The sequence below is a fragment of the Homo sapiens genome, chromosome 6, assembly GCF_000001405.40.
Source record: "Homo sapiens chromosome 6, GRCh38.p14 Primary Assembly".
In the NCBI taxonomy this organism is placed as follows: domain Eukaryota; kingdom Metazoa; phylum Chordata; class Mammalia; order Primates; family Hominidae; genus Homo; species Homo sapiens.
Genome location: NC_000006.12, coordinates 5,288,891 through 5,312,647, shown reverse-complemented (window position 1 = coordinate 5,312,647; position 23,757 = coordinate 5,288,891). Strand labels below are relative to the sequence as shown.

At 40.5% G+C, this 23,757-nt stretch overlaps 1 protein-coding gene across 23 annotated transcripts in view, besides 4 other annotated features; it reads right to left on the bottom strand.

Annotated features, from left to right (window-relative positions):
- FARS2 (phenylalanyl-tRNA synthetase 2, mitochondrial) overlaps positions 1-23,757 on the bottom strand; it is a 521,650-nt gene that overhangs the window by 458,936 nt on the left and 38,957 nt on the right. The gene's annotated exons all lie outside the window — the stretch shown is intronic.
- Positions 10,118-10,412: an enhancer, noted in NCBI's record as "tiled region #4425; K562 Activating DNase matched - State 5:Enh". NCBI's record gives its function as "activates a minimal TATA promoter and a strong SV40 promoter by Sharpr-MPRA in K562 cells {active_cell/tissue: K562}" and the evidence as "EXISTENCE:reporter gene assay evidence [ECO:0000049][PMID:27701403]".
- Positions 10,118-10,421: a biological region, named in NCBI's record as "Sharpr-MPRA regulatory region 4425".
- Positions 10,362-10,421: an enhancer, noted in NCBI's record as "active region_23905". NCBI's record gives its function as "activates an Ori minimal core promoter by ATAC-STARR-seq in GM12878 lymphoblastoid cells {active_cell/tissue: GM12878}" and the evidence as "EXISTENCE:reporter gene assay evidence [ECO:0000049][PMID:35858748]".
- Positions 18,086-18,185: an enhancer, noted in NCBI's record as "active region_23904". NCBI's record gives its function as "activates an Ori minimal core promoter by ATAC-STARR-seq in GM12878 lymphoblastoid cells {active_cell/tissue: GM12878}" and the evidence as "EXISTENCE:reporter gene assay evidence [ECO:0000049][PMID:35858748]".

Here is a 23,757-nt window from a genome sequence, read left to right as displayed (position 1 = left end):
CAGAACAGAAGGCAAGAAGAGAGAGCCCTGCACTTTCTAACACACACTGGGAATAACCCCTACTTTTCAAAACCCTCCTCCATAAGCACATTCCCAGTGGCTAGAGATGAGTTAAATCTTTGAAGTTTTGATATTTCCTTTTTTCTGCTATCTTAGTCTAATCTTCAGGACCACTGTTAACGTATTCTCTAAGCTGGCAATATTGTCCTCAAATATCAAACAATAAGTCCTCAGATAATAAAGAAAATTCAGTCTACTTCTCAAGGTTGTTATGAAGTTTAAGTGAAAGTGTATAAAAAAGGCCTTCTGAAACACAAAAAATACTACACAGACATAAGCTATGAGACTTATAGATTAATAGTAAGCAAAGCCTAAAATAAATTCTTATTAAAATTTTTATACTTCAATTTCTGAGGATAAATGAATGCTATGAATTAAACTGCCACCCTTTTGAGTTAAAGACACATTCAAAAGGACTGCAGCTTAATTCATAATCTGAATCACTTTCAGAAGATGGTCCCAAGTTATTTGCTTGTTCCTAGATTATTTGTAAGTTTCAGACATTCTACACATGTAAAAAGTTCATTAGAAATCAAGGAGCTTTATGTGTCTAAATATGGTTTGTGGATGAATGTTTGTATTACATAAAACCCTTCAACACACCGAAGATTCTACGATGCACGGAAAGTTATTTAAACTAACTTACACTCCCCCAGACAAACCTACAATGGGCAAATTCACTTGAGGCCACAATTAATATATTATTATCAATGAGAATCAGAAATACATTACAGTTGTGGAACAAAGGAATCTGTGAGTGGCTTTTTATCTCTCATTTTTGACAGCTAGATCCAAACATGAGCTGCTTCTTCCCAACAAGTACAAACCATTACGTTCTCACTTACCCTCCATGCCAAAAAAAAGAGCACATGGTCCTAGTCTTAGCTAAATAAGACACCCAGGTCAAAAACTGAGAAACTCTCAATCTTAAGACGGCTTCATATATCTAAAGAAAACAGGATAAATAATTTGATCTGAGGCCAATACCACAGTCAACAAATAAAGAACATTTTATGGAAATTTTTTTCTAAGGAACATTTATTAGGGTCGTGCAGGTGTATGCATGTTTTAATACACAGAAGTAAAAAGAGGGAAAAGTTCTGTAACATCATACTCAGATAACTGTTGAGTTAAAAATAATGAGAATAATAAAACATGCCAAATGTACACACACACACACGTGACTGAAATAGGACCCCCTTCTGTATCTCCAACTCAGTGGCTTTTGCGACCTTTCCTAAAAGTTTCCTGTGATCCCTTTTGAAGGGGTTGAGGGAACCCCTGCAGCATCTATTTAATCTATCAGTAAAACATACTCCTTTTGATTCTTAACACAAACAGGGTCATGTACTACATCTTGCTTTTTACTTAATAACAAAATGCACTGGAATTCCCTCTCTGACAGCACATACAAATCCTCTTCACTCGCAACAACTACAAACCATATCATCACCTGGATGCACCATGATTTATTTAACCAGTGCCTCATTGATGTGTTCTGACTGTTCCCAGGTTTCTGCTGTGACAACCAGTGCTGAAATAAGCATCCTTGCCCACGTATTTTAGCAAACCTTTGGAAGCACAGAAGAAGAGTAACTTTTTAATGGTGGGATTGCTGGAGAAAGGGGCACAGGAATTTTATTTTGATATTGCTAAACTGCACTCCACTCAAGTGAGATTGCTCAACTTACTCTACCAAGGACAATATTTTCATGCATTCATTCACTCACCACATGTTCACTGACCCCTTACATTTCTCTATTTTCAGGATATAGCAGTGAAATAGATTTTTTGTTAAAAAGGGCCTCTGCCTATGGACCTTACGTTTTGGTAGGGAGTTTCTGTTTGCCCAAACCTTCATGAGTGCTTAGATTACTTTTTGTTTGATTGTTTGCCAAACGGGTCAAAAATGATGTCTCACTAACATACCTTCCCATTAATTATCAGTGAAGCTGCACATTTTCATTTGTTTTTAGCATTTGTATTTTTTTTCTTAAACTACCAATTCACACGCACACACACAAAAAAATGTATTAGACTGATGGAGCTTTTTCATTACTTATTTCTATGAGTTTTTTTTAATTAAGATTGTTACTGGCAACTCTTTCTTGGTCATATGTATTACAAATAATTGCCAGTTTGTGGCTGATCTTTTGACTGCCTTTGTAGGTTTTTTTTTTCCTTAAACCTAAATTTTATATAAGGAAATCTAACAATTATTAGTTTATGACCTTTGAGGTTTTTGCCTTGCTTAGAAAGGCCTTCACCACTCCAAAATTATTAATAAATCTACTCATGTTTTCTTATAGAAATTATACTTTATGCTTTTATGTTTAAATCTTTTATCTATCTGGAATTTTCTTGGGTATAAAGAATGAAATAAAGATATTGCATTTTGTTTACTCTTGTTTCCTTAAACATTTAAAATTATTGGAAAATCTACTTTCCCTAGTGATTTGAAAACCTACTTTCCCTAGTGATTTGAAAACCATCATTATCATAATCTAATTTCAGGTCCATTTCAGGTTTATTTTTGAACAATTATTTTGTTCCATTCATCTGTGTGCCTTTTTCTTTTTCTGTAGCAAGATCTTAAATTATTCAGTTCTAATGTTTAAATTATTATAGCTTCATAATGTATCTAACATCCAGTAAGTCAAGTTGCCCCTCATTACTTATCTTTTGGAGTATTTTCCAAGTTATTCTCACAATTTGATTTTTCCAGATGAATTTTGTAACACTGTACCAAATTCCTCTGCACAACAAGAGCAACAAAACTCTGTTGCCCTTTGAATTAGGATTTCATTGATTATTGGATTAATTTATAAGAATTGATATCTTTCAATATTGTCTTCCTTTCTAACCTGTTCCTTTTTCCATTTAACTCTTCTAGCAAATCTCTTTGTGTTTTAAAGTTTTCATCATACATATCTTCCACATTTCTTATTTCAGATTTATCCACAGGTATTTTATTATTTTGGCTGTCATAAGATCCTATTTCAAAACACATTTTATTGACTAGGTATATAGGCACAGTACGAAATTCCAAACTCCCCCACCTTTATCCTTAGCCACCCAGATTTCTTCCTGGAGGCACCATGTCATCAGGGAAATTCATTTCAAATCTGCATCAGGATGTTAATCATTTTGCTTTTATGAAATTAGAATATCATGTCTCTAAAAGATAAAAGTTCAACACTAACAAGAATCTCACACAATCCTGCCAAGTCTAAAGAAAGTGTCTCTCTCCCCTCTGTAAAGAGTACCCCATCCCTGCCTCTTAACCTTGAGTCCTCCTTCTCCTTGAATCTCCCACATCCAATCCATTACTAAGTCCTAGAGAGTCTATCTGCAATATATGCCTCATATTCATCTACTTCTCTCTCAATTCAACCTGACTATAAAATCTGAAAGGCAGAGACAACCTTTATTTCATATCCCACTGTTTATCTTGTACACAGCACATTGTCTGGTATAAATAGTTGCTATAAACTCAATGTTTGTGGGCCCCCAAAATTCATATATTGAAATTCTAACCTCCAAGGTGATAGTACTTGGAGATGGGGCCAGTGGGAGGTGGTTAGATCACGGGGGCAAAGCCCTTATGAATAGAATTAGTGCCCTTATTACAAAGGCCTGAGAGAGATCCCTTGCCTCTTCTATAATGATACAGGGAGATGGTGCCATCTATGAACCAGAAAGCCCTACCAGACATCAAATATGTCCTTTGATCTTGGACTCCCCAGCCTTGAGGTCTATGAGAAATAAATTTCCATTGTTTATAAATCACCCAGTTTATGATATTTTGTTAGAGCAGCCCAAATGAACTAATACAGTTGATAGCCATATACCACGGCTTGATCCACAGAAAATATGCAACACATTGTTAGACGTTGGAGCTGCATTGTCAGCCAAGGCTATCAAAGTGGGGTCCACCTGATACCAGCGCATGATAAGGTAAGGACACAGGGCGAGAGTAAGTACACAGAAACTTTTGTAGCAATTTGACATTGCTGTCACATTCAAGCTCATGGTCATTCTTCCGGTAATCCGTGTTTCTTATATTCTATAACAGTATCAGTGTACAGCAGATTAGAAATAAAAACTTATGGCCCTTTACCAGAGATGGTTTAGGAAGCACAAGCATGCAGGGTACCATCACCTCTTGCCTTGGCTTCCCCAGGAGGCATCCATCGGGAGTTGCTGCTTCCTCTCTTGCCTTTCCAGGGTGATGCTTCTGTGAATCACATGCCTGCAACTCAAACCCTTTGGTGATTTGCCACAGCATTTGCCCCGACCTACTAATGTCTGCATCACTGGGCTCCTTCCTGCTTCTGTGACTTCACCTAGGTCTTCCTTGTAAACATCCAGGCACCCTGGCTTCATTGTTCTTCCCGGGACACATCACTCCCTTTTTTGCCTTGAGGCCTTTGCATGTGGCATTCTCTCAAAAAAAAAGAGAGGAAGAAGAATTTTGTAGCAAGCCATTTTTAAAAAGTGAAAAAATTCTCACATCCGTGGCCCATTTTATTTGATAAACATAAAAATCTCACACCTTCCCTACTGTCCTTAAAAAATCCCCATATAAATTGCAAATAGTTGCCAATTCAAATTGAAGCAGTAGTAAGGTCAAAAACAAGCATTTACTTTAGTGTTGAGAGATCCTGACCTCCTAAAGCAATGTGGGCAGTGTAAGTAAGTGCTTTTCCGCCAACTCAGGTCATGAGCCTTGAGGCTGACCCCTGAGGCTGCACGGCAGCTTGTGTCCTAGCCCCGTGTGCCCCACCGAGATGCTGGCAGGTGCCACTCCTTTCTAACCACTACAACTTCAAGGCCAAGATGAATTAGTTCATAAAACAGGAAATCAAGTAGCTAATCAATGTGTGCTGAAGTGCTCACGCTCACTACTAAGTCAAGAAATTTAAAACTTGATGCTATTTTCTGCCTATCAAGTTAACGAACTTAAAACAGCAATACTACCCAATGTTACGTGTAGTATATGGTTAGTTTTGTACATTTGAGATTACTAGTGGCAACTTGCAGAAAACAGTATATACAATATGATACGACGGAAATTGTGCATGTGTGTGTGCACGCGTGTGTGTAAAATATCAAAATGCCTCATAGACCTTATGAAAATGTCCCTTTTATGGACAGCAATTCTACTCTGAAAAAATATCCCAAAGAACTAATGCACAAAAAGCCCACTAGAGGATAATTTATAATTGGAAAAATATATGAGCCATTCAGATCAATGACTCTCAAATGAAAGAAGAGGCCTGGCCTCCACTGAGTGAAGAGACAGCCAACTCATCAGTCATAATTACTGATGGACAGTGCCATTACCCACTCACACCCCACTGATAAGTAAAGGACTGAGCCATTGGACAACATGTGGAAAGAGCAAGTAAAGATTTTAACAAATGCCCCTCAATGGAAAATGAAGCTTCTGTAGGAAAAATATATAATAACAAAGAAAAACATATGTAATAATTTTTAAAATACCAGATTTTCATAAACAGATTACAACTACATAAAAATTATGCATTAAAAAAGAATGAAAGAAAAATTAAATGTCCTAAGTGGTTTGCATTCTGTTGGAGGGGTCTTAGATAAGTTTTCTCTCAATTTCTCCATTTTTTTTTTAGTTTTTCAGAACAAATTCGTATTTATCAGTTAAAAAATGTTAATCCTTTCAAAACCAAGCAAAGTCAAAATGTGCCCACCTCAGCATGCTGTAGGAAAATATTTATCAACAGCAGGTCAGTAAGACTCTTCTAACTTCTTTTTACCATGTGACTTGTTACTGTACAGAAGACAGTATGGAGCTAGTTTAGTAGAGAAGCAGAGAAAAATCATCCTGTCCACTAATCCAAAAGTAGGATTAAGTATATCATCTTTTTGCTCTCCCAGAAAGAAAGTGGCTTACATACTGGGACACACTGGGAATGTGAAGGGGCTTAAACACTCCAGCAGCGTGCATAAAATACTGTTATATCAAGGACAAGCATTTCTAATCCAAAATTCCAGAAACATAGTAAAGGCCCTCTGAAATGTAAATACTCATAAATTCCAAACCTGATTACCCAGTAGCTGTAACTGCTGACAGCTTACGAGGTTCACATCAATTTCAAGGGGCCTCAAGCCACCATGGAATGAGCAGGATCCAGTCATCTACAAATCATTCAATTCCCAGGGCAGCCATCACATGGCTGTTAAAAGAACCAGTAGACTGTTAATTCTCTTTCCTGCTTTGTCTCCTCAGTCATTTCATTCGACATTCACTGTGAATACTTCCCTCACTATTAATGCATTTAGCTTCAGAATCTCAACTACACAACCAAATGTGCTCATCAGATTGGGGGTGAGGGGTTCTGGAAAGAAAGGAGGAAAAACAACCCCGGAGTTGATGCAATACTGACGTTTAGATTTCAGTCACACAAGATAAATCAAGAAGCTCAAAGTTCATGCTCCCTTAACAACCTTAAACCTCTACCCTAGGCATATGGATCAGAATGGCAGTTTTATTAGGATCACAATTGTATCAAATACACACTCAAATCATGTACCACATCTACCATTATATGTTCTCCCTTTAAAATGAAAAAAAGGTTATATTCCAAACTGGAGATAAGGCAAAGCTGTAAGTTTGAATAGAATTGAATTTTGATCCGGCACTGTCTCTTGGCACTCAGTATAAATCTTCATACCCCCATCTGACTACTGCCTCAAGGCCACAATCTCTAAACTCATTCCTAATCCAGTTACATGGGAGGACAAGCATGGTCAGACAGCAAAGAAAACTCCAAATACACACTTGTAGGGGCTATAGTGGGAGAGGGGCAAGCAAAACAAGTACGCCAAGTTCTCCCAACAAGGTGTAGAGGAAAGGACACTGGACCAGGAATCAGGACCCAACTTGGGGTCCCCAGTCACCCACCATCTGTGTGATCGTGGGGAAGCTATTTGCTCTTCTTTGTCTGAATTGATTCCTCTATAAAACAAGGAGGTCTCATTCAATGTTTTGGGTGGTTATATAAATGAGTCAAAGGTCTCTGCTGGCATTACTTTCCCTAAGTTTCTCAGTTGAAATTTCCTTTCCTTTATCCCTGTGAGGTCTGCTGGAGGTTTCACATGTGGGCAGGCAAACTGTGGGATCCCACTACTTCAACACAAGGCTTTGATAAAATGCCTGGGACTATGAGGATAAAGTAGTATTTTCCCTCATTCATTCAATCAGCAGACACAAAACTACCATACACGTACATCATATACAATACAATGTGCTAGACATTTTAGGAAATGGGTAGAAAATTGTAATTTTAAAAGGTACAGTTCCTACATGAAGGCATGTAATGTTTATAATCCAACTGGATAACAAATTGAAGAAAACTGCAATGACAAAGATCTAGAACAAATTGCTAATTAATCACAGTATCTTTCCCACTGAGCCTAGGTGTGACCTCAAAATCCTTCTCCACACAAGCACTCCATTCAGCACCCAAAAGACTGTCCTCACCAGGTGAGGTGAGGTGCTTTGTGCAGTCCACAATAGGCACTCTTCTGAGCGCATGCCCAGCTACTTCCAGTGCCCTCCCACTACTGCTCCTACCAAGCTCCTTTGACTTCCACCTTCGCCTCCAAATCACTAGGTATTCCCAAAAAGAAGGGAGCCACTAAGAACCTAGTCACACTGGCTGAACACTCTTGTCAACTCACCTTTGCCAATCTTTTTAAAAGTCCGAATTCTAGGGAAAGAGGAAACACCTATACCCTTGCTTTAATCCATATCAAGCACACATCTATTTTAAATACTAATGGATGACCATTATGTTATCCTTAGACACCTAGTACATTCCTATTAACAAAGGCAATGCATGGTGTCCCTGGGCTTAAATCAATACACAAACGCGCCAACAAGTTTTTTACACACACAAACACAAACACAAACATAAACACAGCTTCTCATGTACTGTGAGAGGCTGCATCCCTAACCAAGTTGGCCATCTGGGAAACGAATGCCTTTGTGGTGGCATTGTGAATTGCCTCCACTCTTCTGGAAAGCAATCTGCCAATACGTTTTAGAAGCCATAAAAATGTTCATACTCTTTGACCCAGTAATGCCATGTCTGAGACTCTATCATAAGAGACTAATTCAAAATATGAAAATAGCTACATGTACAAATGTATACCTTTAACTGTTATTAGTAACTGTAAAAAGTTGGAAGTAACGCACATGTCAACAACAGAGTTAAATAATTAATGATGTGGCATCACAACAGAATATGATACAGCCATTCAAATGGTAACTATGGGGATTATACAGTGATAAGGGGAAACGCACATACAAAACAACTGATACAACTATGAAAAGCCACTGAACAATTGTTTAAAAACTGATTACCATGTTTTAGGGTGGTAAATGTGGGTGCTTTCCCTTCTTTATTTCTAAGCTTTTTGTAATACTGCTATGATGCCTCTATAATTAAAAGATAATCTTTTATTTAAAAATGATATGCATGCTTTGATCTCAAGGATACAGAGCCACACCAGACCATGCAGCCTGCTATGTTACTCAGGGAGGAAGAGGGACCATTAGCATTCTACGGACGCACAGGCATCATGGGCTGAGCCACACAGAGCAGTCCACGGAGAGCCACCTGGAGGTGTTGCGTACTTGGTCAATGATTGCCAAAAAATGAGCAGTGTCCATCTGCTAACCCCAGTCAATTCCCCTCATTACGAGCATCCCGAGGCAGAGAATTCCCCGGGCGCACTTCACATACTGTCAGCTTAGTTATCCATTTAAAAAATTTATTTGAGGTCACATGGGGCTGTACAATCATTTGGTTAAAGTCACAAGCCCAGATTTTCACATTGGGAGCAATGAGAAATGTCTGTGGCAAGAAATGCAATAATCACAAAGATGGAGGAAGGCAAGCAGAAGCAACTTTTCACTTTCAGAGAAGCAGGGGGCTTGGGGAGCAGCCAGCGTGGCCGCAAACACATTTGTCTAAGAAACAGAGTCGTGGGGAGGGCAGGCTCAGAGGGAGGGCAGGAGCGGCTCTCCCGAGCTGACACAAGGATGAAGACACAGGAGGTAAAGGTGTGCGCTCAGCCCTAACAAGCCTCAACCAGCAGATGGCAACCGACTTCACCTTGGGGCCATTTAGCCCCACGTGCAGCTTCAGCCCTGTGCCAGTCCAGGCACCAGTCCCACTCAGGAAAATCTCAGAGATCTCCAGTCCAGCTTCAACCAGTCAGTCCCAGGTGCTGCTCTTGCATTCTTGCCCTTCATCTCTATGTCCAGGCACCTCTTTATACCCTAGTGTCAATGCTCAAGTTCTTTTCTCTCCTCTATACCTTCACTTCCCCACTGAGTCCCTGCCAGGGAAGCAGCAGGGCAAAGAAGCTTCACATACAGGTTGTGAAATCAGACGGCACTGACTTAAAATTCAAGTTAAGCTACTCTTCTCCCTGTATGATCTTGGGAGAATTACTCTCTTGAACTTCGGTTTCCTTCTCTAAAAGATTTGTACCTGCACCACAGGATCATTATAAGGGTCAAATGAAACAACAAATGTAAACCCCAGTATCTGACACTTATGAATGCTTAATAAAAGTTTGCTATATTTACTCTCGTTCCTCAGCAGCTGGCACCCTGTGTGTCTTCTTCCTCCACTAACCCTGTCCATCGAACATGAACCACACAGTCCCGCTCTCTGTTGCTCAGCCCTCCTTATGCTGATCTCAGTCCTGAACTCAGCGTGCCTTCTGGAACCACTCCACTGCCCAAACCAAAACACTCTCATTTCTGCACCGTGAGCCGACTCTCCCTGCCAACAGTTATAGCCCCCCACACAGTCAGGAAGTGCACAGTAATTTCATACCTTGGTACCGAAGCCACACTGCCTGGTTCACAGCCCTGCTCTTTCACTCATTAGTTCATGTGACTTTGCTCAAGCTACTTAACTTCTCTGTGCCTCATCTCCCCATCTGTAAAAGATAGTAATAGTGTCCACCTCCTAAGATTGAGGAGAGGATTCAGTGTGCAAGTAAAGCTCTGAGAACTGTGCTAGCACATAATAACCAGGCACATTTTTTTTTAACTTCAACTCCCCAAGGCCAGAGGTACTTGATTAGCCTATGTCATCCCATGTCATCCGATAACCCAAGCAGCTTTGCGACTCTCTGACACAAGGGAGATGTAATCTCTCTGGACAGCAAAGCCTTGCTATCTACCACGTGGTGCACAGACCGACATGGGCACTGCCTGGAAGCCTGTTAGAATCTCAGTCCCCACCAAGCCCTACTGAAATAAAATCTGAATCTTAACATGTTTTGCAGACAGAAGTCACCTAGAGGTCTTGTTAAACAACACAACAACACAGGTTTGGATGGCGCCTGAGATTCTGCTGTTCCTAGGACCAAACTTAGGGGAGCAGAGCTCTAGAGGAAAGTTCTGAAGTAGAAGTGTTCCAATATGTGGGAAGACTGTCACCTGGAGTCTGTAAGTGACAAAGAGGGTAGGTGGGCATGACTGGTAACTGGAAAAGTGCATGGCTAAGAAGATAAATGACCAACAACATAAGGAGCTCCTTGTAAGTTCTTAAGAGGGTAGGGACCAAGTCTTCTTAATCTGTTTTATTGAGTGAATTCCCAACATGAAGGATGGTTCACCAAAATCATCTGACATAACCCTTACTTGTGTGGGGTCCACCAATTTAGCCCCATTTTCTTTGTGTGTGTGTGTGTGTGTGTGTGTGTGTGTGTGTGTGTGTGTGTATGTGTGTGTGAGATAGCATCTTACTCTGTCACCCAGCAGGCTGGACTCATTTTCAATAAAACTAGAATGTTAGTTTAAAAAAAAATTGTTTGATATTAGTTGCCACTCCGCAACCCACCCTAATATATTAAACTGCACACTTTCTGCATGGAGACAATGCAAACTGCTCTTGATAGAAGGGAATGATTTCACAATTGCTTCCCTTAGAAATGATTTTGGCTTTGATCCAGGAGATGGGGTAGGTGGGTTGGAGATAAGAATGGGGCTGGCAGAACACCTTCTGCAAAACAGTGGGCTAGGCTTTGAAAGAGAACTTGCCGTTACTTTGCTGCCATCTTCTTTGTTCTTTTAGAGACAGGGTCTCATTCTATCACCCAGGCTACAGTACAGTGGCACGATCACAGCTCACTGCAGCCTCAAACTCCTAGGCTCAAAGGATCCTCCTGCCTCAGGCTCCCAAGCAGCTGGGACTACAGGTGCATGCCACTATGCCCAAACTTTGCTACCATCTTATTTCAAACTCCCAGGATGTTGCAAACTAAGTTAAGGCATCAGAAAAGTAAGTGCCTCATTTCTATAACCCTTGACCTTTTTCTTAGTGACATAGGTAACTAACCAGACCCTGGAGGTCAACAACCAGAGAATAATAATTATAGAGAAGAAAAATAAAAGACTACAGACTAGAAAAAAATCATACCAATTGATCCAAGAGCCCCCCAAACACTCCCTCCCACCCCCAGTAAGCACAGCCTTCATTTTCTAGGACTTCAGAAATAACCAGATGTGGCTGGGCATGGTGACTCACGCCTGTAATCCCAACACTTTGGGAAGCCAAGGCAGGCAGATTGAGACCAGCCTGGGCAACATGGCAAGACCCCATCTCTACAAAACACAGCAAGACCCCATGTTTACAACATGGCAAGACCCCATCTCTACAAAAAAAAATTTTTTAAATAAAAAAAATTAGCCAGGTATAAGTAGCACATGACTATAGTCCCAGCAACTTGGGAGGCTGAGGCAGAAGGGTAGCTTGAGCCTGGGAGATGAAGGCTGCACTAAGCTATGATGGCATCACTGCACTCCAGCCTAGGCAACAGAGCAAGACCCTGTCTCAAAAAAAAAGAAAGAAAGAAAGAAAAAGGAAATGACCAGATGCCCATGACTGTTATCTAAGCAATCTGTCTCTCTCATCCAACAGTGTCCCCTGCCCCACCCACCATCTCCACACAGACACCTGTCACCTCAGTAATTAACTAAGGGGAAAAATCTGCATAAAAGTGAGAAGAGAGCTACATTCCCAGTCCCCACAACCGTCATGAAATTATCTAAATGTGAATGCCATATCAAACCCAAATGTGCTTCTCTTTGAAAAAAAACAAAATAAGGATCACCATCAGATGTCCCTTCCAAGTCAAAGGTCAGGAAGAATTTCCACTATGTCACTCTGAATCAGCAGCTGTGTATGACTATAAACAGACATAACATTTGGACATGCTTATGTTATATATACTTACATGTACACACAGAGACACATATGTCTCTGTTCTACCTATATCAAAAAAGGTTTTGGAGCAGGTAAGAAGTTCTTGTCCTCAACCACCAGAGTAATCCAATCATTTTCTGCCCTCAGTGAGGGCTCTAAGAGATACACAGCAGGAAATCTACCAGGGATCCTACATCCTTTCTCTAACTACTCACAGAGTCCTCATAGATAAATAAAATCATAGGTAAATAAAAAACAAAAAATGAAAACATTTTTAAATTTGACATCTAAACTTTCTGCTCCAACTACTGACAGAGCTCTCATATATAAATAAAAAAGGCAAATATTTAAAATTTTATATCTAATCTTTTTTTAATAGATAAAGGAATTTATTATGGAAATTGGCTTATGTGACTATCGAGACTGAGAAGTCCTATAATCTGTAAACTGGAAAACTAGCAAAAAGGATGAGTTCATGTCCTTTAGCTGGAAACCATCATTCTCAGCAAACTATCACAAGGACAGAAAACCAAACACCGCATGTTCTCACTCATAGGTGGGAAATGAACAATGAGATCACTTGGATACAGGGTGGGGAACATCACACAACAGGGCTTCTTGGAGGGTGGGGGGCTGGGGGAGGGATAGCATTAGGAGACATACACAATGTAAATGACGAGTTGATGAGTGCAGCAAACCAACATGGCACATCTAAACTCATCTTTTAAACAAAAGCAAGGCCAAGAGAATACTTGTTTCCCCTGAACCCCAAGTGTCATCTCCAAACTTTGATGAACTTTCAACCGAATAAGCTTAAAGCCACAGTCCAAGACAGCCATTGCTGTTATAGAAGAAAAGATTATACCGATACAGCTCTGTAATTTTAAACAAATCCCAGGGGCCCAGAAGGGGCTCAGACAAAGCATTCCTTGAAACCAAAAAACCCTCAGATTGACTGTATGGTTCAAAGATACACCTAGATTTTCTAATTTAATAATAAGGGTAAGTGTTTAAATACACAGGAGTGTAGGAAGCATTATAACTATGTTCGCCAGAGGAGATGACAGTCTAAATGAGAAACCTTCAGGAACTATCAGAAATATCAGCACAGATGTCTACATAGTATAGTCTTCAGTTTATAAAATGAAACTGCCATCAAAACCCAAAGTGAGCTAAAGCTTGTACTGAAATCTAGGCAAGCAAACAGTTGCTCTTTATCTTCCAAAACGCAAGGCTCTGCAGAATAAACTAGATCTATATTTTAGCAACCCACACTATATCATTTCAATATAAAAACATACTCTATAAAGACATAAAAATGATCTTCCACCACAAATTAACAAAATAGAAGAAATTCCCTTCATATGTGAGGAATAAATTTCAGCAATCTCAGCTAATAAGGACACCCTAAGAAAAGACAAGACATTTTTGTATCTTTTTTTTTTTTTTTTTTTTTGAGATGGAGTTTTGCTCTGTTGCCCAGGCTGCAGTGCGGTGGCACGATCTCGGCTCACTGCAACCTCCACCTCCTGGTATTTTTGTATTTTTTGACAGTAAAAATCTTATTTAAAGCCCAAAGAACAAGGTATTAAAAAGAAATTACAGTAGTGGTCCCACATCTTGATGGCACATTAGAATCACCTCAGAAGCTTTTTAAAAATCCCACTGACCAAGGCCCACATCAAATGTGTTACACTGGAATCTCTGGACATGAGACTCTAGCATCATTGTTTTTCTAAGCTCCCCAGGTGGACTGCAGTGTACTGCCATAGCTGGGAACCACCGAATTAGAGATTAGTCTAAAGATACCTTCCAAATCAGAGTTCCTCTTTGCAAGATCATGGGCCCTTGATATGCTGGGACAAGAAGCATTTGTCTAAAGCAAGTGTTTGTCTAAAACCACCAGCTAAGATGGTGCACTGTACAAGCCACCCACCCCCAACCCCAGGAGTGGGGCTGAGGACCATGTACAACCAGGCTTCCCAGCCATAAAATGCAACCCCGATGAGGCAGGGTCCAGGAAGCCACTAAGTCTGTATTTTCAAGGGGCATCTCCCTGACAACAATACAAGAAGCAGTGGAGACAGAGAGTGACATGAAGTGACACACAGGCCCAGCAGACCAGCATCATCCAGGGGCAGCACTATTTTCACAAGGCCATGCAGCCCCACTGTGACTCTGAGGGAAAATGCATATCCTCTTCACAAAAGTAATACAGAGAAATGTGTAAGTTTCTTAGCTGTTGCTCCTCTGTTGATAAAGCTGCAACATTCACTGTATCTAAATGTTCAAAGTCCTCAGTGTTTACCATCGATGCCCTCCGGGCTTCCCCTAACCTAAATCCAGCTTTAGATACTGTTGCTTGGTTTTATTTAAAAGTAAACTTCTGATGGGAATGGGTAGAGTGGAGATGTTTTTAAAAACTCCACAGGAACCAACGCATATTTGCTTTAAATTATTTAAAGGCAAAATTTTACCCAAAAATCTTAAATAAAAGGGAAATCAAAGATACTACAGACTTTTTAAAGACGATGTTTTAAATAACAAGAACATTTGAAAGCATAAATTTGGAAAGGCAGGAAAAAGTCATAAAATATGCAAAGCTTAGTTTCGTTGTTGTTGTTGTTGCTGTTGCTGTTCTTTTGGGTTTTTTTTTATTTTTTTGCTTGTGAGACAGAGTTTCACCCTTGTTGCCCGGGCTGGAGTGCAATGGCACGATCTTGGCTCACTGCAACCTCCGCCTCCTGGGTTCAATCAATTCTCCTACCTCAGCCTCCCGAGTAGCTGGGATTACAAGTGCCCACCACCACAGCCGGCTAATTTTCTTATTTTTAGTAGAGATGAGGTTTCACCATGTTGGCCAGGCTGGTTTCGAACTCCTGACCTTAAGTGATCCACCCGCCTTGGCCCCCCAAAGTGCTGGGATTACAGGCGTGAGCCACTGCGCCAGGCCAAAATTAGTTTTTTTAAAGAGAATTTTTATTTAAAAAGAGCGAACTCTACGAATCCTTCATAACATGAACTCTGAAGGCAGGCTCTGAATCACTGATGCTATGAGGCAGGGGCCCTCAGTCATGCCCCTTGGACTCTCTGTGCCTCACCTTACCTGTATGTCACAGGAGGTAAGCTTCTGGAGTCAAATTCAGATTCAGGTCTGCACATGTTAGCTATGTGAGCTCACCTAACCTCTCTGTGCTACCCTTCCTCCGCTGTTGTAACAGTGAAGGACAAATAATTACCTATCTCCTATGTGAAGAAATTGGAACCCCTGTGCTCTGCTGGTGGGAATGTAAAATGGTACAGCCACTGTGGAAAACAGTATGGAGGTTCCTGAAAAATTAAACATAGAATTATCATATGATCAAGCAATTCCACGTTTGGGTCTGTACCCAGAAGAACTAAAAGCAGGATCTTGAAAAGATATCTGTACACTCATGATCACAGCAGTCTTATTCATAATAGCCGAAAGGTAGAAGCAACCCAAGTGTCCTCTGATGAATGAATGGAGAAACACAGTGTGCTCTATCCAGACAATGTAATACTACTCGGCCTTAAAAAGGAAGGAAATTCTGGCACATGATACGACATGGATGAACCATGAAAATGTTATGCTCACTGAAATAAATCAGATGAAAAGGACAAATACTGTATGATTCCACTCATACGAAGTTCCTAGAGTGGTTAAATTCAGAGACAGAAAGTAGAATGGTGGTTGCCAGAGGCTTGGGGGAGAGGGGATGGGGAGTTCGTGTTTACTGGGTACGAAGTTTCAATCTGGGAAGATGATAAAGTTCTAGAGATGGGTAGTGGTGATGGTTACATGAGACCATAAATGTACTTAATGCTAGCGAACTGTATGCTTAAAAATGGCCAAAATAGGCCAGGCACAGTGGCGCACGCCTGTAATCCCAGCACTTTGGGAGGCCAAGGCGGGCGGATCACGAGGTCAGGAGATCGAGACCATCCTGGCTAACACAGTGAAACCCCATCTCTACTAAAAATACAAAAAATTAGCTGGGCGTGGTGATGGGCACCTGCAGTCCCAGCTACTCAGGAGGCTGAGGCAGGAGAATGGTGTGAACCCGGGAGGCGGAGCTTGCAGTGAGCTGAGATCCCACCACTGCACTCCAGCCCAGGCGACAGAGCTAGACTTCGTCTCAAAAAAAAAAAAAAAAAAAAAAAAAAAAAAGGCCAAAATGATAATTTTTATGTTTGTACATTTCACCGCAATTAAAAATAAAAATTAAAAAATGAGAAAGAATAGTACCTACCTCCTAGAGTTGCAGTGAGGATTAAACATACGGGAAGTGTTTAGCATGCGCCTGGCACACAGTAAGCCCTCCATGGTATCACTGCTATCTTACCTTCCCACCTTTGTAGCTCCCCACGGTCCCTGCCACAGTGTTTTACGTGAAAAGATGCTCACTGCCTAGACTCTGATTCTCCCCCTTGGAGCTATATACCTTCTGCGACAAAACATTTCTAGCCCTGGGCTTCTTTCCAGCATAAATAAACACGCCTTCATTTAGAGAAAACTCCCACTGCAACAGGATGAAGATGAAGAAGCCACCTATTTCTGAACTGAGTCTTCACCTTATATAAAGCTAAGACAACCCATTAAAAACAACCGATTCTACTGTCTTTATTTCCAAAATGGCTTGTTAATAATTTTGGCTCAAAAATAGTTTCAAAGACTATGGTTATCCTATAAATCTGACAGAAGAGAGAAGAAAGTCCCCTTGCTATTCATAAATATTCTCTCATTTTTATCATTACCAAGACTATTTTATTTATTTGCTTGATCCTTTTTAAAACGTTTTATTATTAAATTTCCAAGCACACACAAAAGGAGAGTTCAGCTAGCATCAGATTACCAGCTTCAAAGCCAATTTTAGCCCTTTTGACTCAAACACCTAAGACTCAAAAAAAAAATTAGAATAACACCATGAGCTACAATTGAAATAATTTCTAACTCTAACACAAATCATCATCACTATTTTTCTTTACTTTTAAAAGATCTTTTAAAAATATGTTTTCACCTCCTTTCATTTCTTCCTTTGAAACTTCAAATAATTTCACTGCTCACCTTGCTAGGTTATTGTGAGGATATAACGTATATGACGGCACATAGCTTGGTGTGTAGCGTGTATTAGTTCCTGAGAAATCCTAGCTCTCCACAGACTGCTGCCTCGTGCCACTCTCCAAGACTGAGACACACCCCCGATCTGTGGTGTTAAGAGGTATATTGGTTTTTGCCCACAGTTCCTGGCTCATAACTCCCACAGCCCTTATTGTGGGTGTGTTAGGCCATGTTGGGTGTTTTAGGCCTCAGGGGCAGGCCTCTGACCTCCTGCCCTCCTTTGACTGTATGTTCCCTCAGCTTTCTGATAGTGGGTCTTAAGACCCTTCCATGAGAGAGTCCCACCCTATACTTTGGGGGAAGGAATGCTGATGTCATGAAGCTTCCGTAAAAACCCAAGGGGAAAGGGTTCAGGGAGCTTCCTGATAGCTGAACACACGAAGGTCCCTGGAGGGTGGAACACCCAGGGAGGGCATGGAAGCTCCACACCCCTTCCCCTATACCTTGCCCTGCACGTCTCTCCGTCTGTATCCTTTGCAATATCCTTTATAAAAAACCAGTAATCATAAGTTTTCCCCTGAGTCCTGTGAGCCTCTCCAGAAAATTAACCACACCCAAAGAGGAAGTCATCAGTCAGAAGTTCAAGAGGCCAGGACTTGTGACTGTCAGGGAGCGAGGGGGACAGTCATGGGGACTGGGCCCTCAACCTGTGGGATCTGACACTATCTCTGGGTAGAGAGTGTCAGAACTGAATTAGAGGACATCCAACCGGTGCCTGCCACTTGGTGTATGGGGAAAAAACCCACACATTTGGCCACAGAAGCCTTCTTCTGTGTTGATGATTGTTGTAGTGTGAAGAGTAGAGGAAAAACGCAGTTAGAGAGTTTCCCCTACACACCACCACATACACATCATTCTCCATTCTTTGTCCTCTACTCCTCTTTTCCCTTTCTAAACACTGGTCCTGGCTTCCTTCCTTCCCCTCCACCTCCTTTTACACCAAGGATCCGAAACTCAAATGCCTAGTCACAAATTAAATCATCAAGAAGACCCCAAATACAATAAGTGGCTAAACTGAACTGATAAATGTATTTCACAAATAGGGCACCTGTTCCTGAATTAACTATAAAACATACCTCTTTATTATTTATAACTATACAGAACATCAGGCTAGATGCTAGGTTGTATAATAATCACAAACAGGAATTCACATGCAGGTCATTCGTGCTGTGTGTGTATGTGTGTGTGTGTTTAAGTTTAAACATTAAACTTCTTTTTTGATGATCTAAGAAGTTTTATCTGATAATGAGATTCATTTCTTTGCAGTACTTCTCACCTGTGGCAGACCTGCCACCTCTAATTTGCTTTAAAAAGAATTCTAATCACCCAATCAATCATGCTCTTGGCCTTCAGCCTTCACAGCCACTTCACTGTGGTCAAAATTGGCTCTAAAATTCCTGTTGTAACAGTTCTGTTGTCCTCAAGTTCCAAAATGCCAATGACAGGGATATAATTTAAACAAACCTTCTCATTGATGAACAACGACAACAAAAAAAATCGTACATGGAGTTTCTAATTTGTTTTCTAACAAGACTCTTTAAATAAAAGTGAATATCTATGATATTATTAAATAATAACTTTTCTCCCATTGGGGTTTAGAGATTTATAAATCATCCAAATTTCTTGTAGTGAAGCTAGTCTCTTCACCACAAAAATCACATGGCCCAGTGTTGTGGTTTTAAATGCCATCTTTTATAATGTAGATATACAGAATGGTCAAGTAATAATCCCTCCATCCCCACCTCCTCCCCTCCTAGCATGCATGCAACCTTAATTGCATCAGCATCCATCTTTCCTGCTCACATCCTATGTGGATGCAAGCAGAAGCTTTCTTGCCTAGGCCAAAGCCTCATGGCTCACTCATTTCAGCACATAATTTCTCCTACTAAAACAAAAAGCATCCCCTCTCTTGACAAACCTCCCTTCATAGCTACAACCCCCTCTTTCACGGCCTTGTATCCTTCTTTCCCAAGAAGGCACTGAGCCATAAACACTAAACACTTCTTGTTCGCAATTCCTCATCCATTCACCTCTCACCTCTCAACCCAGTGAATTCTGGATTCTGCTCTACCACTGCACTGGAGCTATTTCCAACAGTGTCACCAATACCCTCCTATTTACTCAATCCAGTAGCCACTTGTCAGTGCTTTTCTTACTTGAATTCTGTGCGGCATTGGCCGCCATTGGTTGCACATTGGTTGCACCCTCTTCAGAACTGTGCCTTCCCTCAGTTTTTGTGGCCTCTCTTCTGGCCTTCCCACCTCCATGAACGCTCCTACTCATCTTCTTTAAGGATCTTCCATCATCCCTATCACTGAATAACCCCAGAGTTCCATCTTTGGCCCTCTCCTCCCTCTACTACATATCCTTTTTTGGTCTCATCTACCTACAAATATAATAGGCTTGAATTGCCAATTATACACCAAGGTCTCTTAAATATTTGTATTTCCAACACCAGTCTCCCTTAAAAGCTCCAGGCTACAGGTGCACCTGTCTATGCAGGACTTCTCCACTTGGGTGTCCCTCAGGTACCTCAAACTCAACACAACCAAATCTAATACCACCTTCTGCATTTACTACCTGGGTGAATGGTATCAACCACCACCTGAGTACCCAATCCAGAAAACTGGGAGGTATCCTTTAGTCTTCCTTCTCTTCAATTCCTCATATCCAGTCAGGGGCCAGGCCTGATTACTTCCAAATCCCATATCACTCTGGCATTTGTCCATCTCTCCATTTTGTCTATTGCTGACAGTTCAAGACTTCATCATCTCTCACTGAGATTACCAGAAGTACAACACAAACGTAGTTCTCTGCCACCAATTCACACACATGCCTCTGGCCTGCTCTCCAGGCTGCTGTCAAAATGATCTAAAACAGAAGTCTTAAAGGTCACTTTTCTGCTTAAAACTCTTCAGAAAAATCTAAAGTCTTTTGCCTTCATAATTTATTTCCTGAATACCTGACCAATCTCATGTCTTGTCATCAACTACCTCCCTGGAAACATCAGCCATACAGACACATGTGTCATACAAACATAGCTCCCTCAGCCAAGGAAAGGTCTCCCAGCCCCTTCACCTGCTTACCTCCTGTTCATTCTGACAACCCCCACTCCGAGAAAACCTTCTCTGACTCGATCTGTCTGGGTTAGGTAACCAACCCTCCTTTCTGACCTCACAGCATGTATCTGTCTACCTATCTAACAATGATCACCCATATTATCAATTTTTATTGTAATTGTTGACTTATTAGTCTCCCCTACAGACTATGCACTCTTTGGAGTAATAAAATAGTATATCTTATTAGACTTTGTATATACAACAGTTTGCACATCTTTGTAAAATTAACAAATGAATACTCATAAAGAAACCTGATTCTTCATTAAATATATTCAATATTTAATTCTTTTTCTTTTTTTTTTTAAGAGATGGGTCTTGCTGTTGTCCATACTGGCTTGCAGTGGCTCAATCACAGCTCACTTTAGCCTCAAACTCCTGGACTCCCGTCTTAGCCTCTCTAGTAGCTGAGACTATAGGCATATGCCAACACACTCAGCTATTCAATATTTAATTCTAAGGGTAAAAAGGATTGATAAATCTCTCACTAATTATCAGTACCAGAAAGACTAAATAATTATTTTTTGTAAGAAAGATCTCAGACTTCATTTTCTTAAAAATTGTAAAAATCAAAGAAGATTCTTTCCCCCAAATTGGATAGTTTAGGAAGTTGGGATCACCATCGGCCTCTAAAGCCTCTTCACCCACCTCCCGCCTAACTCTCCAGGACCTCACCTTCAGAGAACTGTTTTTAGCAGCACTGGATTTTGGAAAAAAGTTTAGAAGGTGTTCAACTTATTCAAAATCAGCATCCTACTAAAATCCCAATGATAAATGAGAGGATCGAGGTTAAGCACCAGCTTCTTGTGGTTAGATCTTATATGAGATCATGTCAACAAGACTGAATTAATCAAAATGACTAGGAACTTATTAGGTAAATGCTAACAAAGCCTGTTCTTCATGGTAAATGCACATCGCACCATAAAGTTTCTACAACTATTTCTGAAGTGTATGAAAATGACAAAAATACAGGTAGATTCTTATATACACTATATGCTTCAAGAAGACATTTGGAAAGAAATTTTCCTTCTAAGATTAGCACAGGCTAGGCATGGTGGCTCACACCTGTAATCCCAGCACTCTGGGAGGCTGAGGTGGGAGGATCACTTGAGTCTAGGAGTTCAAGACCAGACAGGGCAACATAGTGAAACCCTGTCTCTACAAAAAAGTTAAAAAGTAGCTGGGCATGGTGGTGTGTGCCTGTGATCCCAGTTACTGGAGAAGCTGAGGTGGGAGGTGGAAGGCTGGAAGGAGGTGGAGGCTACAGTGACCCATGATTGTGCCACTGCACTCCAGCTTAGGGGACAGAGTGAGAACCTGTCTCAAAACAAACAAACCAAAGATTAACACAGTGCTGCCATTCTAGAATTATTTAAAGCCACCCCCAGGGGGATAAAAGGGAAATACTACCAACTAAGGTTGAGCTCATCAACCAATCACAGGTCATCAAAATAGGAGTATGTCAACCTAGAATTTTTGTCCTTCAAGTAGAAAAACTGAGCTACTTTCTACATTTAGCACATTCTGCTTTAAAAATTCCTATATTATTTAATATAGGCTGTCTTGTTTTCTAACTTTGAAAATTTAGAAATAAACATATTGTGCATTTTAAGTTGTCAATTTAAAACAGATACCCAAATTGCTGTGATCTTTTCTGCCATGGAGTTTGCAATCTCAGAGGTAACTTAAATGCAGTCTGTGAGATACCATGGTTTCTGTCCACAGAACCTGCCAGCTTTGTACAAAAAGTGAACTACCTACCTAGAGAAACCTCTGTATCAGGAAGCATGAGTTGTCAAGCATTACTGTTTCCCTCACACACACAGTCACTTGCCATAGTAGTCGGTACAAAACAGATAAATGGGGGTAAAATGTCATTGACTTAAGACTTTTGTTGAAGGGTATGGATATCAAAATATACCAAAAATCAACTTTCCTGTAGTTTCAGGAAATGTAATACACAGCAAGCTATTTCTTATTTCTGTCCAAAACTATTTTACACTTTAAAACACCATTATTTAATATAAATATTGAAAATTTTACACTCTCTAACTAGCTTTTGAAAAGAACCATGAACACAAAAGAGTGGAATTCCTTCTGTTTTGGATTTTCTCTGGTGCAAGAATTCAAACTGAGGCAGGAGAATAGGGTTTGGAGGCAGGGAACCTAAGGCCAATTCACACTGACTTCCTACAACTAAATCAAAAGGAAAACCCCAACTTTCCATGCCCAAGTAACAAAAGAACCAGAGGCTACTCCTCCCTGCTCTTCTCCATGTGGCAGATGAAAAATTGAAAGTATCTCTGATTGGTCCCCTCCTGCAACAAATCAGACTGGTCACAGGCCAAGTCTTCATTTGCACTGGAGTATAACCTTGTAACTTCACTTCAGCCTCTGATTAGTCCCCTCCTGCAACCAATCAGACTGGTCACAGGCCAAGTCTTCATTTGCATAGGAGTGTAACTTTGTAACTTCACTTCAGCCTCTCATTAGTCCCTTTCCGCAACCAATCAGACTGGTCGTGGACCACTACTTCATTTACACAGAGTGTACACCAAGTAACCAGTGGGAACCCTCTAGAGGGTATTTAAACCCCAGAAAATTCTGTAACTGGGCTCTTGAGCCACTTGCTCATGCCCCTTTCCATTCTGTGGCATGTACTTTCAAAATCTGTGGTTTTCTTTCATTGCTTTGTTTGTGCGTTTTGTCTAATTCTTTGTTCAAAACGCCAAGAACCTGGACACCTTCCTCCAGTAACAAAACCAGTGCCTGATTTGGCAAATAAACAAGCAATTCTATTATTTCCAGTCTTTGGAGCACTGGTAGAAAGCATAGAGTACTCAAACTTCTAAGCATTAAAACTCAAATGTAATCCCTTGAGTTTTGGCTTAAATCTGGAATTTGATTCATGTTACATGTTAAGTGTGTCATCAAAATATTTTATTAACATTTTCTTCCATTTTAAAAAATATTTCAGTTATCAATGCTAAAATCAATCATCAAAATTCTCCCACTCTAAGGGCATGCTGATTGTGAAGAAAGTGTAGTAAATGTAGGAGTAATATTCTTAATGATTCTAATGTTGAGAGCTGAATATCTTAGAAATTCAACCTAGAATAAATGACTTGATCTACAGCTATATATGTTTACAACAGCCCTAAAATTTGCAACA